The following is a 15,681-nucleotide window of genomic DNA, read 5'->3' as shown; positions in this document are numbered from 1 at the left end:
TACATTCTTCTAAATTTTTTTCAAAGTTTTCAACTTCTTTGCCTTTGGTTTGAATGTCCTCCCGTAGCTCAGAGTAATTTGATCGTCTGAAGCCTTCTTCTCTCAGCTCGTCAAAGTCATTCTCCATCCAGCTTTGTTCCGTTGCTGGTGAGGAACTGCGTTCCTTTGGAGGAGGAGAGACGCTCTGCGTTTTAGAGTTTCCAGTTTTTCTGTTCTGTTTTTTTCCCATCTTTGTGGTTTTATCTACTTTTGGTCTTTGATGATGGTGATGTACAGATGGGTTTTCGGTGTGGATGTCCTTTCTGTTTGTTAGTTTTCCTTCTAACAGACAGGACCCTCAGCTGCAGGTCTGTTGGAATACCCTGCCGTGTGAGGTGTCAGGGTGCTCCTGCTGGGGGGTGCCTCCCAGTTAGGCTGCTCGGGGGTCAGGGGTCAGGAACCCACTTGAGGAGGCAGTCTGCCGGTTCTCAGATCTCCAGCTGCGTGCTGGGAGAGCCACTGCTCTCTTCAAAGCTGTCAGACAGGGACATTTAAGTCTGCAGAGGTTACTGCTGTCTTTTTGTTTGTCTGTGCCCTGCCCCCAGAGGTGGAGCCTACAGAGGCAGGCAGGCCTCCTTGAGCTGTGGTGGGCTCCACCCAGTTGGAGCTTCCGGCTGCTTTGTTTACCTGATCAAGCCTGGGCAATGGTGGGCGCCCCTCCCCCAGCCTCGCTGCCGCCTTGCAGTTTGATCTCAGACTGCTGTGCTAGCAATCAGCGAGATTCCGTGGGCATAGGACCCTCCGAGCCAGGTGTGGGATATAATCTCGTGGTGCGCCGTTTTTTAAGTCAGTCAGAAAAGCGCAGTATTCGGGTGGGAGTGACCCGATTTTCCAGGTGCGTCCGTCACCCCTTTCTTTGACTCGGAAAGGGAACTCCCTGACCCCTTGCGCTTCCCAGGTGAGGCAATGCCTCGCCCTGCTTCGGCTCGCACACGGTGCGTGCACCCACTGGCCTGCGCCCACTGTCTGGCACTCCCTAGTGAGATGAACCCGGTACCTCAGATGGAAATGCAGAAATCACCCGTCTTCTGCGTTGCTCATGCTGGGAGCTGTAGACCGGAGCTGTTCCTATTCGGCCATCTTGGCTCCTCCGTGAATCAGAAGTTTTAATGCAAATAACATATACAAATTGGCAGGTAACAATCAAGGCTCCATGGGATGGCACTCTTCACACGGAATGGGGAAATGGGAAGAGTTGTGCCAGGAGGGACGTAAACCAGGGCTTTATGTCAGGAGGAGGCTGGAGAGCATTCGGGGAATGGGAAGAAGAAATGTGATGCTGCAGTGAGGGTGTAGCACAGAGGGAATTCACTCATTCAAATATATTCAGGAAGGGCCAGGTGCAGTGGCTTATGCCTCTAATCCCAGCATTTTGGGAGGCCAAGGCAGGAGGATTGGTTGAGCCCAACAGTTTGAGACCAGCCTGAGCAACATAGGAGACCCTGTCTCTATGAGACCAGCCTGAGCAACATAGGAGACCCTGTCTCTACAAAAAATTTAAAAAAATAAATAAATAAGCCAAGCATGGTGGCATGTGCCTGTAGTCCTATATAGTCCTAGCTACTCAGGAGGCTAAGGTAGCAGAGTTGTTTGAGCCCAGGAGTCTGAGGCTTCAGTGAGCTGTGATCGCACCACTGCACTCCAGTCTGACAGAGCTAGACTCTGTCTCTTATTTTAAACACACGCAAACACACGCACACACACGCAGAGGAAGTTTTGATCCCTTACTAAGTGCAAGGCCCAGGGCTATACATGTAAATGGTAATAAATCAACAGGAATCATAAAACTCACATAGAGGAAAATCACAGCGTGACCAGAAGCTCACAGGCATCAATTAGAAATCTCAGTCTGCTAAAAAGGACATGCTACAACTTATCTGCTTCTAATAATTCCCTATTCTGAAGATAACAGAAGCAATTGCACTAATAGCAATGCTAGCTTGTATTTACTGAGTGCTTACTGCCCGCCTTAAATTACATGAAGCACTTTATAGATGTCACCTCACTTCACACTTCGAGGTGGGTTTTTCTCATCTTTATTAAAGGTGAGGAAACTGAGGCTTACGCAGATGAGCTAATTTGTTCAAGGTCATACAGACCTAGGACTTGAACTCCAGTGTATGACACCAAAATTCCCCTCAATATTTCTCCAAGTTTGGTTGGCCCCCTGTCCACCTGCAGCAGAATCTCCTGGGCTGCTTATTAAAATTCAGATCTCTAAGCCTCTGGTGCAGGTACCCAAAGTTTGGGTACCACTGTGCCACCACTGCCTCCTGAGTATGGGGAGGATGCTACTCTGAACAGAATCCTATTCAGTTCAGGAGAGCTAATTAGAGACTTGGAAAGGATGAGAACACTAAGAGAAAGTGACACTGTGAGGAGATAAGCAAAGTCACACTGAGACATTGAGACGCTGGACCTCAAAAAGATCGGTGAAATAAGAGTTGGAATTTTATGGACAGAAACTCTAAAGACAGGTCAACTTGAGAAAAGTAGGAGGCTCCTTTCTACCTGGCCCTGACCTTGGCCCCCCAGCTTGATTACAATTCACTTCAAGCTGGTCCTACCTTGGTGGCATATAAGCTCCAAAGGACAAATCAAGCTCATAAATAGGGATAATGAGGAACAAGAAGATGGGACAGTTGGGAGCTGGTTGGCATACAGGGCATGCAGCGAGTCTGGGCAGTGGTTCAGGACTAAGAGTGAGTGAGATGTTTGTTTGTTTTGTTTTGAGATGGAGTCTCGCTCTGTCGCCCAGGCTGGAGTGCAGTGGTGCAATCTCAGCTCACTGCAACCTCCGCCTCCTGGGTTCAAGTGATTCTCCTGCCTCAGCCTCCTGAGTAGCTGGGATTACAGGCATGCACCAGCATGCCCAGCTAATTTTTGTATTTTTAGCAAAGATGGGGTCTCACCATGTTGGTCAGGCAGGTCTCAAACCCCTGACCTCGTGATCCATCCACCTCGGCCTCCCAAAGTGCTGGGATTACAGATGAATGAGCTGTTTTTATGTAGATATACCTTCTGGGCATGAGGGAGGCCTAATGAGGCAAATGTCCCAGGTAGGTGCAGACATTGTGGCATATTACAGAGGGGATTCAGGCATTGGATGAGATATTGGGTTACATGACCTCTGGGATCTCCTAGATTGAAACTTTTCCCCTGTATAATTTCTTCAGGGTTCAGGTTGTCAGATTTGGATATAAGCATGGCTCACATTATTTATACCTCTAGATATTCTGAAGAATTAATCCAGTTGGTTGGAAAAAGTCAGAGGGTCATGCTATGCATTTTATTTCAGGATCTTAACCCTAGGAGATGGATACTGCTGCAGCTTACCAGTTGAGAAACTGAGAAACTCTGGGTAAAAGGCAGGAGGAAAGCAGTTTGGGGGAGCAGATTATCCATCACCCTAAATATGATGTTGCACTCTTCCTGGAATGTCAATTCTGCAGATACTGACCCAATATGAATGCTAGGTGAAACTAGTACTAACTAGTACTAGGTATTAGATATTGTAGTAGTAGATGTATCTAGTACTAGTTATTATTATCGTATCTTGTACTAGTTACTAGATATTGTTGGGTTTGAAAGAAAACCATTCCAATTCATTTCTTCCCTCCACCTGACAAAGTAGCAAAGTACTTGGAATTGGAACGGTTTTCTTCCAATCCCAACAATATCTCCTCTTTAACCTCTACTCTAAACTTTTAGGAGAAAAAGGGGACAGAGAAAATGAAGACATCATCCCAATATTTACAAATGGGAAAGGAACAGAAGTTCTGGGGGTACCCAGAGAAGATCTAGGGTGTTGCTCTCCCTCACTTCTACTTACCTTACCTCCTGAACTTCATCTCACGAAGTGCAATTTCTCTCTTTTTAAATTTTTTTAAATTGTTTAATTTTTTGTTGTTGTTGTTGAGACAGAATCTCACTCTGTCACCCAGGGTGGAGTGCAGTGGCCCGATCTTGGCCCACCCGGGAACCTCGGCCTCCTGGGTTCAAGCAATTCTCCTGCCCCAGCCTCCCGGCGCAATCTCTTAATTGAATGTCCATGCTGGATAGTGGAAACTACCCATTACATGACCCAAACCACATATTTTGAGTTCTGGTCTCAGCTCTACCACTGCCTCACTTTGATCTAGTTAGTCAGCCACTCTTCCTGGGACTCGGTTTGTCCGTCTGTAAAGGAGGATGTTTGATATGACCAAACATATCCTCCTTTACAGATATCATCATACTTAAACATGATGTTCAAGTAACAACATTCTATTCCTTAGAATCTTGCTACCTAAAGTGTGGTCTCAGAACCAGCAGCATCAGCATCACTTGGGAGCTTATTAGAAGAGCAGAATTTCAGGACCCAGACCTACTAAATCAAATTCTGCATTTTTGACAAGATCTCTAAGTGATTTTTCTTTTTCTTTTTCTTTTTTTTTTTTTTTTGAGACGGACTCTTATTCTGTCACCAGGCTGGAATGGAATGGCACGATCTCGGCTCACTGCAACTTCCGCCTCCCGGGTTCAAGTGATTCTCCCGCCTCAGCCTCCCGAGTAGCTGGGACTACAGGCACCCACCACCACGCCCAGCTAATTTTTGTATTTTTAGTAGAGACGGAGTTTCACCACGTTGGCTAGGATGGTCTCCATCTCTTGACCTCGTGATCCGCCCGCCTCGGCCTCCCAAAGTGCTGGGATTACAGGCGTGAGCCACGGCGCCTGGCCCCCTAAGTGATTCTTCTGCACTTTAAAGCTTGAGACATCCTGCCTTAAGACACCATCAATCCATGAATAGATTGTGATATGTCTTTTTGTTTTCCCTCTCATGGGTTCCTATCACACTCCCAAACTTTCTAGCTCTAGGACTGCTTTCAATGGCAGAATAGCTTGAGATTTAGTGATTATTTGGTTTGGGGCTTAAGGAAAGGCCATATGGCCCTTAAAATGGAACAATACATCTACACACATCCATTTACTAATTAACTTGCTAATTAATTCACCTACTACACTCAAGAAATACCTGTTGGGTACCAGGCACAGTTTGAGGGGTTGTAGATATAAGGATGAGTTGGGCACAGCCCCTGTCCTAGAGAGTTTAGGGATATGCCTGAACAGCCAACTCCAACCCAGAGTGATAAACACTTCTGTAATTCCTAAAGAAGATGCATTCCCTTTGAATGTTTATAGTCAGAAACTACGTCATGGCAAGCAGGAATAATTCTGGAGGCAGTTCCAGGTTGTCCGCCTCCACCCTCTGATTCTATCTTTCCTGTGGCCTTACATCTGTGGCTTGTCTGCCCACACAGGGGGATGAGTTATTGGGACAGTCCCTGTCTGGTGACTCACAGGATACTGACAGTGATGGCTTGCTATAATTCTTCTCCATTCCAAAATAATCAGGAATTGTGGTGTGATCTTTCCCTTAGCTCAGGAGTCCTTAACTTGGGGCCCGTAGAAGAGAGGTTACTTCCAGGGGTGGAGGTGAATTGGTGGCCCGTGGGCAAACTGTTCTGTGTATGTGCTTAATATATTTGTCTCAAGAGAAAAAGTCCACAAGTGTTTTTGTTTTGTTTTGAGACAGAGTCTCGCTCTGTTGCCCAGGCTGCAGTGCAGTGGCACGATTTCAGCTCACTGCAACCTCCGCCTCCCGGGTTCAAGCAATTCTCCTGCCTCAGCCTCCTGAGTAACTGGGACTACAGGTGCGTGCCACCATGCCCAGCTAAGTTTTGTATTTTTAGTAGAAACGGGGTTTCACTATGTTGGCCAGGCTGCTCTTGAACTCCTGACCTCATGATCCATCCGCCTCAGCCTCCCAAAGTGCTGGGATTACAGGTATGCGCCACTGTGCCCAGCCGGAAGTCCACACGTTTTTATTAAAGGATGATGAAACCTAAAATTGAGAAGTAGTGCCTTGCTACTCTCCTCTTGCTGCCGACACCCTTGTAGTACCGGCTCCTTCCTTCTCTTCCTCCTCTATCTCCTCCCCTCTTCAGCTGACATCTCCCAACACCCTCTGTGCTTAGCCTGATTAGTTAAAAGGAGCTCTGTCTGTGGTATCACAGTCACTCCAGTCCCCAACTCAACACCATCACAGGTAAGCACAGCTGGACCACAGGAACAATGGAGAAAAGAAGTGTCTAGAACTCAAAGCCAAGTCGTTAGCAATTGGCTTGCTAGTCTTCTGTCTTTAAGAGTTAGAGGTGAGAAGATGAACTTTAAAAATCACTTTTTGGACTTTCAGGATGGTTCAGGGTAGTGATCCCTGCCATGAAAACTCCCTTTCCTTTGTCCTGTGAGATGTCTAGAGTGTCAGGTTGGGGGTTAGGGGAGAGAGGGGACTCTACAGGTGGGTAAAAGTCATTAATGACATCAGAGAGGCAACTGTCAGGTCTCTTTATACTTAAAGAATTTTTTGGCTTCAGAAGCCATGAAAAGTACATATGCTATTTCTGATGTATCATTCTTAGTTCAAATCCAGGCTCATGCAGTAAAGAGGAGGAGGTATGTTTTGGATATTTTCTAAGGCAGAGTTCCAAATCATTTCTATATGGCTGTAAGTACGTAATGAAGTTATTTTGCAACATATGTTTGCCTTTCTACTTCTGCTCTGTGATAATTTGGGATTATAAAATAAATTTATAAAATGCCCTTTGAATATGCTGTGTGACTATTGTTGTTGTTGTTTTTTTCCTAGCTGTCTTATTTCTGTCTTGCCAGACTCATGCTGAAAGAGTTGTCTTCCTTGGATGCAAAGCCTCTGGTAAAGGGAGGGAGGGCAGGGCAGCCCAGAAACATTCTGGGAAAGTTGAATGGGAATAAACATTTGTGGTGGAAAATTCAGGGTTGATTTTCGTGGATCATCAAGAGTAGACCCTCTGCAGTGGCTGGTAACTACAGAAGGGTTTTTGGAACAGTAGCTTTTGTTCAGTGTGAACACACAGTGTGCAGGCCTGGTCCCAGGGGAGAAATAAACACAGCCCTGAGATCTGCTTCCGGGGCAGGAGATGAGACTGAGGTTAATGTTGTACAATGACTAATTTGCAATGCAGAAAACTACCAAGGGGGGTGGATTTACAGTCTCACATTTTATGACCCATAGGTTCACAGACCATTCCATATTCATTTATCAAGCAACAGTTTATTAAGCACTTCATCTCTTAGCACTATGCTAGGAGGTGCCAGAATTACATTTACATCAAAAACCAGAAAAGACAGCTTCCAGCCCTCATGGCCCTTACAAACGAGTGAGAGAGACAGACAGTAGGCTCAAGGGCATTTAGTACTGTAATGGGGGCAGCACTTCCAGGATGCTGCAGGAGGCACAGAGGAGGAACAGCCAATTCTGACTCAGGAGATTATGGAAGCCTTCTTGGAGGAAGTGATGTTGAGACTGAGAGCGGAGGGATGAGCGGAAGTTAGCTAGGTCATAGGAGTGAGGGGTGGGGTGGCGGGGAGAACTTCAGGCAGAGAACAGGATGCACCTTCTCAGGGGCATATGGGTATATTTGACATCTAATTATTTTTGTTTTTAGAATTACCTGTTCAGTGTTTATAATCTCCTAGCACATCTATGCCAAATAGAGCTAAGAGGTACCCTGGACCAGGGTTTTCAAAAATATCTGCTGGTTCTTCAGTTCTGGAAGGTTTGCAAAATTCTGATGTGACTTTGATTTCTAAGTGTTATTTAATATTTTTAAATTAAAAATTTTTATTTAGCACAGTTTTAGATTACTATTTAATTTTTAAGTTTAAATTTCAGGCCGAGTGTGGTGGCTCACACCTCTAATCCCAGCACTTTGGGAGGCTGAGGTGGGCAGATCATGAGGTCAGGAGCTTGAGACCAGCCTGACCAACATGGTGAAACCCCGTTTCTACTAAAAATACAAAAATTAGCTGGGCATGGTGGCATGCACCTGTAGTCCCAGCTACTCAGGAGGCTGAGGCAGGAGACTCGCTTGAACCCGGGAGGCGGAGGTTGCAGTGAGCCGAGATCGTGTCACTGCACTTCAGCCTGGGCGGCAGAGCAAGACTCCGTCTCAAAATAAATGAATAAATTTCAAACTAATTGCAAAGTTACAGAAAAGTTGTGAGGATAGTACAAAAGAAAATCCCCTCAAAAGTCCCATATATTTTTAATGACTTTACCACTTGTTAGTATTTTGCATCATTTGCTTTAATCATTTATATGTCTACCAATATATATGCACGCCCTCCTTCCACCTCCTCATCTTATTATTTTTATTATTCTTGCCAAACAGTTCGAGACATCATTTTACTCCTAAATACTTTAGCAGATACCTGCTAGAAACAAGGACATTATCTTGCAGAATCCCAGTAAAATGATCAAGTTCAGAAAAACTAGCATTGATACTATCCTACTATCTAACATCGCGTCTATATTTGAATTTCACCAATTATCCCAACAATGTCCTTTACATTTTTCTGGTTGGAGATCCAGTCCAGAATCACCCATTGCCTTTAATAGTGATGTGCCTCAGCCTCTTTGTCTTTCACATCATTGATATTTTTGAAGAATACAGGTCAATTGTTTTGTAGGATGCCCCTTAATGTGAGTTTGTTTGATGCTTCTTCATGATTAGATTCCATTTACGTATTTTTAGCAGGTAAATGATATGTGTCTTTTTCAGGAGACCATATCAGGAGGCTCATGGTGTCTGTGTGTCTCATGATTGGGGATATAAACTTTTATTTGTTTTATTTTTTGTATATTTTAAACTGTAACAAAAACATGCATCTCCAAATGTGTTTCTATTCAAATTTTATCACAAAGAACATTCATAATGAGCTAATCTGCTCTAGGTTACCTTGACTGAATGCAGACCAGAGTATTCAGTCTCTCCTGCCGGCTGTGCATATACCTGAACTTTGCTCAAGTGTGTCATTGATTAATAATGTTGTAACTGCACATTGGCCTAGAAATGCTGAATGTAAAGTTGTATGGGTAACAAATTACTGCTTAGTTATACAAACAAGAATTTGCTTGACACAGTACAATGAAAACAACATACAAAAGTAAACTGGAATCCTGAGGCTAATAGTGAGCCCCATTGAGCAGATTTGGGTTCATCATGAGAGCATCAATGCCTAATTTTATACTAATTTGGACTTATACAAGAAATTAATAAAATACCCTTTGCATATGTTGTATATGTGTTTTATATGTTGGGTTCCTATATAAGATGTTGATTAAAATGAGGATCTCTTACTTTGGCCATTTGGAAACCACATTGTATCCCACCATAGCTCCTAACCACTGTACAATTTCTGCAACTCTCTCATCATCTGCAAGCCGTGATGTTTCTTTTCCTGGTACCTGGGATTTTGCCCTAATTTTTAACACCTACAGAGCTCAGGGAACACACATATATAATTTACCAAAAGGTTTTGGGGTGTGGTCCCTGGATGCTCCAAAGTGCATACAGTTTGAGATTTCTTTCTTTCCTTCTTGAAGTTCAGTTCTGCTTATGTTAAAACATGCCAATACAAACATTAGGAATACAACCATACCCTATGCAATAACCTACTTAGCCACTGACCGACACCTCCACAAATGACCCAACCATAGGACAGTCCTACCTTATTCCAGAGCTTTTATTCCACAAATGAGGACACTGATATCGAGACAGGTGGATCTCCTCCTTCTGAAGGACAGCTGCTAACGGTAGTCAGATGCAACCCAGCTCTGCTGGTGCCAGGGATTGGGGTGGTTTTCTGATGGCAGAGGCAGTCCCTCAGGAGGTGACAAAGCTCCTTTCCTTTCTCTTAGCAAGTGTGGGTGGCTGGCAGCTGAAGCAGGCCTTGGGCAAGGTCCTTCAGTCTGGTTTACTCATCTCAAACTCAGCCAGAGTTGAAGCCCAGCCAGGTCCTTGGAGGCCTCTAGATTTCCTCGTAGATTTTGTAATAGAAGATGTCCTAACAGAAACACAGGACTGAATAAATGTAGATACCTTAGAAAGTCATTTATTTAAAAAAAATAGCTGGGCATGGTGTCATACACCTGTAGTCCCAGCTGCTCAGGAGGCTGAGGCTGGAGGATTGCTTGAGCCCAGGAGTTTGAGGTTGCAGTGAGCTGTGATTGCACCACTGCACTCCAGCCTGGGTGACAGAGGGAGAATTTGTCTCCAGAAAAAGAAAAAAAAAAAAAAAAGAAAGAAAGTCATTTGTAGTATATTTTCTTTGGGAAAATACATTGAGTTCAAAAAGAATTTTCCAAGCTCAACCAATGTATCAATAAATTGGAGACTACTTACAACTCACTTCATTCCACTGAACCAGTATGGATTTCATATTTATATATGCAAAGTAGTACAATAGTTATTTGGTGGATGCAAAAAGAATGGTCCCATGCTCAAGACATCCGCAATAATCCTGGAGAGATGATACAAAGATATATTAAAAACTTAATAATCATATAAGGTAATGTCTGATGACATGCTCGGATGAGTGGAAGAGAAAATGGGCCACTGAAGAATGGAGGTAGTCAGACGTGGTTGAACGCTGCGGCTCCTAAGTCAAATGACCTGCGTGAAACCGCAGCTGCTCCACTTCCTAGTCGTATGGCAAGTTTCTTAAAAGTTCTCTAAGGCGCTGAGAACAGCTCTGGGCATTTTTGGTGCCCCAAAAATGTTAGCCATTATTATTACCTCTCAGTCTGTGCTTGAACCACCACTTCAAGAATGGGCAGGGTGTGAGTAGAGAGGCGGGAGTGGGTTTTGGAGCAGGGTGACAGAATCATAATGAATTGTCCTCGCGAAAAGCTCCACGAACTACTTTTCTAACTTTGTTGGCAGCTACCAAGTGTGGGCGGCAGGCGGCCATCCTCTTGGCCGCCTGAGATCCCAGCGCCTGTCCCCAGGGGGCGCTGCCACCCAGCTGCCGCCGCCCGGCCCAGCGCGCGTCCCCGCCGCCCACCCGCGCGTGCGCGCCGCCCAGGTGAAGAGGCGGCGGCCAGGGCCGCGGCTGGGGCGGGCTCCTCAGTGGGCCGGGAGGGGCGGAGCCGGGAGGCCCGGGCGGGGCGGAGCCGGGACGAGCCCCAGGCTGGAGGCGGGACCAGCCGCTGCCGTCTCCGTCTCGGTGTCCCGGCCCCTACAGCGCCCGGCAGCCGCGGCGGGAGGAGCGGAAACTGTCGGGTGCGTCCCGTTCGGAGCCGCGCCGGCCGAGAAGGCGCCGAGGAGCAGCGAGGCGGCCTCTGTCCGGCCCGGACCCGCCGAGCGGCGTGCGCGCCCCCTCCCCGTAGCCTCGCGGCGCGGCCTCGCCCCGGCCCCTCCCGAGCTCATCGCGGGCCCACGGAGCGGCCCCGGAGGCCCGAGCGCGCCCACCTGAGCCCCCGCGCTGGCGCCATGGCGGAGCAGGAGAGCCTGGAATTCGGCAAGGCAGACTTCGTGCTGATGGACACCGTCTCCATGCCCGAGTTCATGGCCAACCTCAGGCTCAGGTGAGGGCGGAGCGGCCGCGCGCAGGGGCGCGAGGCTGCGCTTTCCCGAGAGGGGGCGCCTCGGGGCGCGGCCGGATCCGGGGTGTCGGGAGCGCCCAAGCTCCAGGGATGGAGGCGCGGCCGGGCTGCGGTGTCCGGGGGTCTGCCAAGCTCCGCGGCTGCGCTTTCCCGAGAGCGGACGCCCCTGGGGTGCGGCCGCTTTGGGGTGCGGGGGGCGTGTCGAGCTCAAGGGCCGCGCTTCCCTGAGAGGGGAGCCCTGGGCGCTGTCCGGGGTTTAGGTGCAGAGGGTGTGCCGCGCGGGAGGGCGCGCTTCCCCGCGCCAGGTGAGGGATGTGGGCGGGCCGGTGACCTCATGGAAACTGAAGGGAAATAACTTGAACGAGAGTTGCGGTGGCCCCGAAGGCCCTAGGAGGACTGGAGGATTATTTTGGAGAGAGGCTGGCGTCTCATCCCGGCTTTACACTTGCTTCTTTTCTTTCTTTCTTCGCCCTTCTTTTTTTTTTCCTCCTGGCGTAGTTCCATCCTGTCATTCAGGATGCTATGGAGTGATCCCTGAGCTGTCTGTTCCGGGACACTGGCTATTTTTTTAGTTACTCTCTAAACGTAATTAGACACGTTTCCAGACATCGAAGAGACTGCTGTACTTGCCAGTGCCAAGATAAACTGTCTGAATTTGACAAGACGTTCATGGTTTTGGTTTTTTTCAAGGAGTTAGTGGATGGAGCTCTTGTGTTATTAACATCCTTGAGAACGTAGTCACAACTCAACGCCCCAAAATGGGCTTCCAAGATGTGGATTTGTTTTAGAAAGCCCTTTACATGCGATTATTTCACCCTTGATAGAGTAATATGTAAACAGTTTTAAAGTAGTTTGACTTAAACATTAAAGTAAGTGGAATTTCAAAATAGCTGAGTTTTGGTGTGCGTGTGTATGTTTCCCTGCAAGCTTTGGCTGCATTTCTTCTAAGGTTTATAGCTAAACATCATTCCTTAAGCTTATAAAGTGAAAGTCATAATCTAGGCTTGGGTGCTTAACCCTAATTTCATTATTAACTACCCCTGTCAATCCAGTTGACAGGGGTCAATCAGGTTGATTACATACCAGCATAATGATAGGATGTTACATTTCTGATCAAGGTTTGGATGTACAACTTTTATAGAAATCACCCCAAATATTAATCAAAATGATATACCTCTACATCAGCTATAACCAATACCCATTATCATAGTGATTAAGAGTCAGACTGTTGAGATTCAAATTCTAGTTCCACTGCATTCTTGCTGTGATCTTTGAGCAAGTTACTTAACCTCTCTGTGCCTCAGTCTTCCCGTCTGTAGGATTGGGGTTGTCCTGAGGGTTAAATGAATTATTAATAATATGTGTATACATACTTCAAAGATTAGTGCCTGGCAAATCCATATTAGTAAAACTGTTTTAAGTTTTCCCAAGTGCACATAAAATAGATAAAGGGGTAAGTTACATAGCAATTTCATAGATTAAGGTTGTTTTAAATTAAGAGATTCTACTCCTCTCCCCCACAGGAAATAAGTTGTGTGCTTTGAGAAATGCCTTTATAATTTTGTCACTCTCAGTTATAATCATTTCAGTTTTTCAGACATTGGTACATTTATTATGTACATACTGTATACAAGACCATGTAGTAACAGTTGAATATGAAGCCTTTCATTTTAACCTCCATCTTTCACCTCCAGCAAATACATGGGCTTAGCCAGAGCTTTTGCAGAATTTTCAGAATTTGAAATTGAAGGCATAGAGTCTAACAGGGCTACATTAGTTTGTAGGACTACTCCTCTGTAATAGAATTAAAACTCTTGTGGTTTTTAAAAAGTAAATTGAGGGAAGGCACTTAGAATTTCTGCTTTTTTTTTTAAAGCATTAAGTCTCTTAAGTGTGAAGTTTGAATCTCAAAATAGATTACTAAGGTGAGCCTAACAACTCCTATGTGTACAGAAGAGAATGCTGCAATTTATTTATATTTATATTTATATTTTTTAGAGATGGGCCCTTAGAGTTGCTATGTTGAGCAGACTGTTCTTGAATTCCTGGCCTCAAGCAATCCTCCCATCTTGGCCTCCCAAAGCACTAGGATTATAGGTGTGAGCCACCATGCCCGGCCGAATGCTGCAATTTAATTCTACTGTGTGCAAGGTACTCTAGGAGATAAGCTAGGAGTATCCAAAGAACTACAAGATGTGCTGCTTACCTCTCGAAGAGGTGACATCTCAATGAAGACCTGGAGAAAGGTGGAATTTTCTATTGATTTAAAGAATAGTTCAAGAAAACAACATCAGGAGGCTGAGACAGAAGGATTGCTTGAGCCCAGGAGTTCAAAGCTGCCGTGAGCTATGATCACACCACTGTACTCCAGCCTGTGTAATAGAGCACGACCCTGTCTCTTAGAAGAAAAAGAAGAAAGAAAACAGAGAGAGACAGAGACACAAAGAGAGAGAGAGAGACAGAGACAGATAAAGAGGAAGGAAGGGAAGGAAGGAGAGAAAAGAAAAAAAGAAAGGAAAAGAAAGAGAAGATAAAAGCCTTATAAAGCTTAGGTGATTATTTGTCAAGTAATTATAGAAATTGTTCTGGAAGTTCAGAAGAGAGAGAGATACCTTAGGTTGACTCCAAAACACCTTATAGAGGAAGAGAGGAGTTGAGCTGAGTTCCAAAGGATGGGTAGGATTTGTAAAGGTGGACTCGTGGCTGGAGAGCATTCCAGGTGGATTAAGCAGCATGAGCAGGGGTTGGCGGCATGAAAGCTGACTCTGGGTGACAGTGAATAAGTTAAGTTGTTTGGAAGGGAAGGGGTTGGTGTTGTGGAGAGGTGGGAGGAATCACCAGCTCTCCATATGGCCATTGGCTAAGGCCCAGGTTTTTAGGTCTACCTTTATACCCAATCTCCACATCATTCAAAATCCTGGGTGTACAGATGTATATGTATTTGTATGTATCTCATCTGTGTGTCCTTGATGACTCTGAGAACTGGCTGTGGTTCTCATTGTACAGATCAGTGATTGTTCATGACTTACTTATACATTAAAATAGTTGGTTCCCTGTAGCCATAAACACAGTGCCAGCAAAGGGTAGCACCCTTACCCTCCTCTGAAACTATAAATTCTGACCCAGACAGAAAACAGTCCTCTCTTTCCTTTCACTTTGCAGAAGGTGACCAGAAACCCACCACTGCGTAATCCAGGTGCTGTTCTGTGATGTTGAAGTGTTTTTGTCTCCTGGAATATTGGTGGTTGGGCACATATTTCTGGTTGTATATAGCTGAAATTGAGCGTGTTTGGTCCATTGGTATATATGGATGTGTGAGTGAAATTCCCATGTGTGCTTGTACCTCATGACTCCTGCCCTCCCAAGCTGTAGTTCCTGCTCTTACTCCCCAGTCTGGAATGTCCTGTCCTCCCTTCCCACCTGGCTCTTCTGCAAGGCCTGCTTCCTTCCTTTAAGTCATGTAATAGTCAAGCACTCAAGGCTGCAGGTGCTTCATGGGTCTGTGTTTTCTCAACAGCAGCACCTAGCATAATGCTGGGTACAGAGTACATTCCTTCATGACAACATTTTTTTGTAGAGAGGGAAAAATGCTTGTTACTTTTTTTTTTAAAAGCTTATGTGGCATTGTCCTTTTAGAATTATCTTCTTGTTTTGCTATTAATCTGGCCTTCTTTTTCCCTCTTGGAGCTAAAGCTTGATTTTTAGACAACTGCCACAATTGATGCAACTTTCTCCTACCATTTTTACTTTTAAAAATTGACCTAGGCCGGGCGCGGTGGCTCACGCCTGTAATCCCAGCACTTTGGGAGGCCGAGGCAGGTGGATCATGAGGTCAGGAGATCCAGACCATCCTGGCTAACAAGGTGAAACCCTGTCTCTACTAAAAATACAAAAAATTAGCCGGGCGCGGTGGCGGGCGCCTGTAGTCCCAGCTACTCGGGAGGCTGAGGCAGGAGAATGGCGTGAACCCGGGAAGCGGAGCTTGCAGTGAGCCGAGATTGCGCCACTGCAGTCCGCAGTCCGGCCTGGGTGACAGAGCGAGACTCCGTCTCAAAAAAAAAAAAAAAAATTGACCTAGATGTGTGTCTGGATGGGGCAAGAGTAAAAGAGTGATGTGGATTACTGCGAGTTAGGATATCTGAGAAGGAGCTTCAACTTATATTTCTTGCTTT

General features: G+C 45.8%; 1 protein-coding gene and 1 long non-coding RNA gene across 9 annotated transcripts in view, besides 3 other annotated features; one reads left to right on the top strand and one right to left on the bottom strand.

Moving 5' to 3' along the window:
* The window catches only part of MYO1D-DT (MYO1D divergent transcript), a 29,732-nt gene extending 18,318 nt beyond the window's left edge, over positions 1 to 11,414 (bottom strand). The window contains exons 1-3 of one of the 3 annotated variants that reach the window (NR_184086.1): positions 11,376 to 11,414; positions 10,308 to 10,425; positions 9,634 to 9,969 (exon numbers count right to left, since the gene is read on the bottom strand). This is a non-coding gene — a long non-coding RNA (MYO1D divergent transcript). Of the gene's footprint in view, positions 1 to 8,187; positions 9,970 to 10,307; positions 10,426 to 10,700; positions 10,787 to 11,375 lie in introns of those variants that run through there. The other 2 variants (NR_184087.1, NR_184088.1) reach the window with 2 other exon arrangements.
* Positions 1,029 to 1,625: an enhancer, noted in NCBI's record as "H3K27ac-H3K4me1 hESC enhancer chr17:31213662-31214258 (GRCh37/hg19 assembly coordinates)". NCBI's record gives its function as "activates a minimal SCP1, AML or CMV promoter by ChIP-STARR-seq in primed H9 embryonic stem cells {active_cell/tissue: H9 hESC(primed)}" and the evidence as "EXISTENCE:reporter gene assay evidence [ECO:0000049][PMID:30033119]".
* Positions 10,820 to 11,809: a silencer, noted in NCBI's record as "silent region_8430". NCBI's record gives its function as "represses an Ori minimal core promoter by ATAC-STARR-seq in GM12878 lymphoblastoid cells {active_cell/tissue: GM12878}" and the evidence as "EXISTENCE:reporter gene assay evidence [ECO:0000049][PMID:35858748]".
* MYO1D (myosin ID) overlaps positions 11,145 to 15,681 on the top strand; it is a 384,603-nt gene continuing 380,066 nt past the window's right edge. For all 6 annotated transcript variants that reach the window (XR_001752521.3, NM_015194.3, NM_001411088.1 and 3 more), the window contains exon 1: positions 11,145 to 11,491. Coding sequence is in view for 4 of the 6 variants with exons in the window: in NM_015194.3 (NP_056009.1) it covers positions 11,397 to 11,491 (95 nt within the window). In the remaining 2 variants the exon portion in view is untranslated. The remainder of the gene's footprint in view (positions 11,492 to 15,681) is intronic.
* Positions 11,426 to 11,613: a silencer, noted in NCBI's record as "fragment chr17:31203674-31203861 (GRCh37/hg19 assembly coordinates)". NCBI's record gives its function as "represses an EF-1alpha promoter that drives an FKBP-Casp9 reporter gene in an ReSE screen in HepG2 liver carcinoma cells {active_cell/tissue: HepG2}" and the evidence as "EXISTENCE:reporter gene assay evidence [ECO:0000049][PMID:32094911]".

This window comes from Homo sapiens, chromosome 17 (assembly GCF_000001405.40).
Source record: "Homo sapiens chromosome 17, GRCh38.p14 Primary Assembly".
In the NCBI taxonomy this organism is placed as follows: domain Eukaryota; kingdom Metazoa; phylum Chordata; class Mammalia; order Primates; family Hominidae; genus Homo; species Homo sapiens.
The sequence above is the reverse complement of the archived record's forward strand: the minus strand, read 5'-3'. Positions and strand labels throughout refer to the sequence as shown.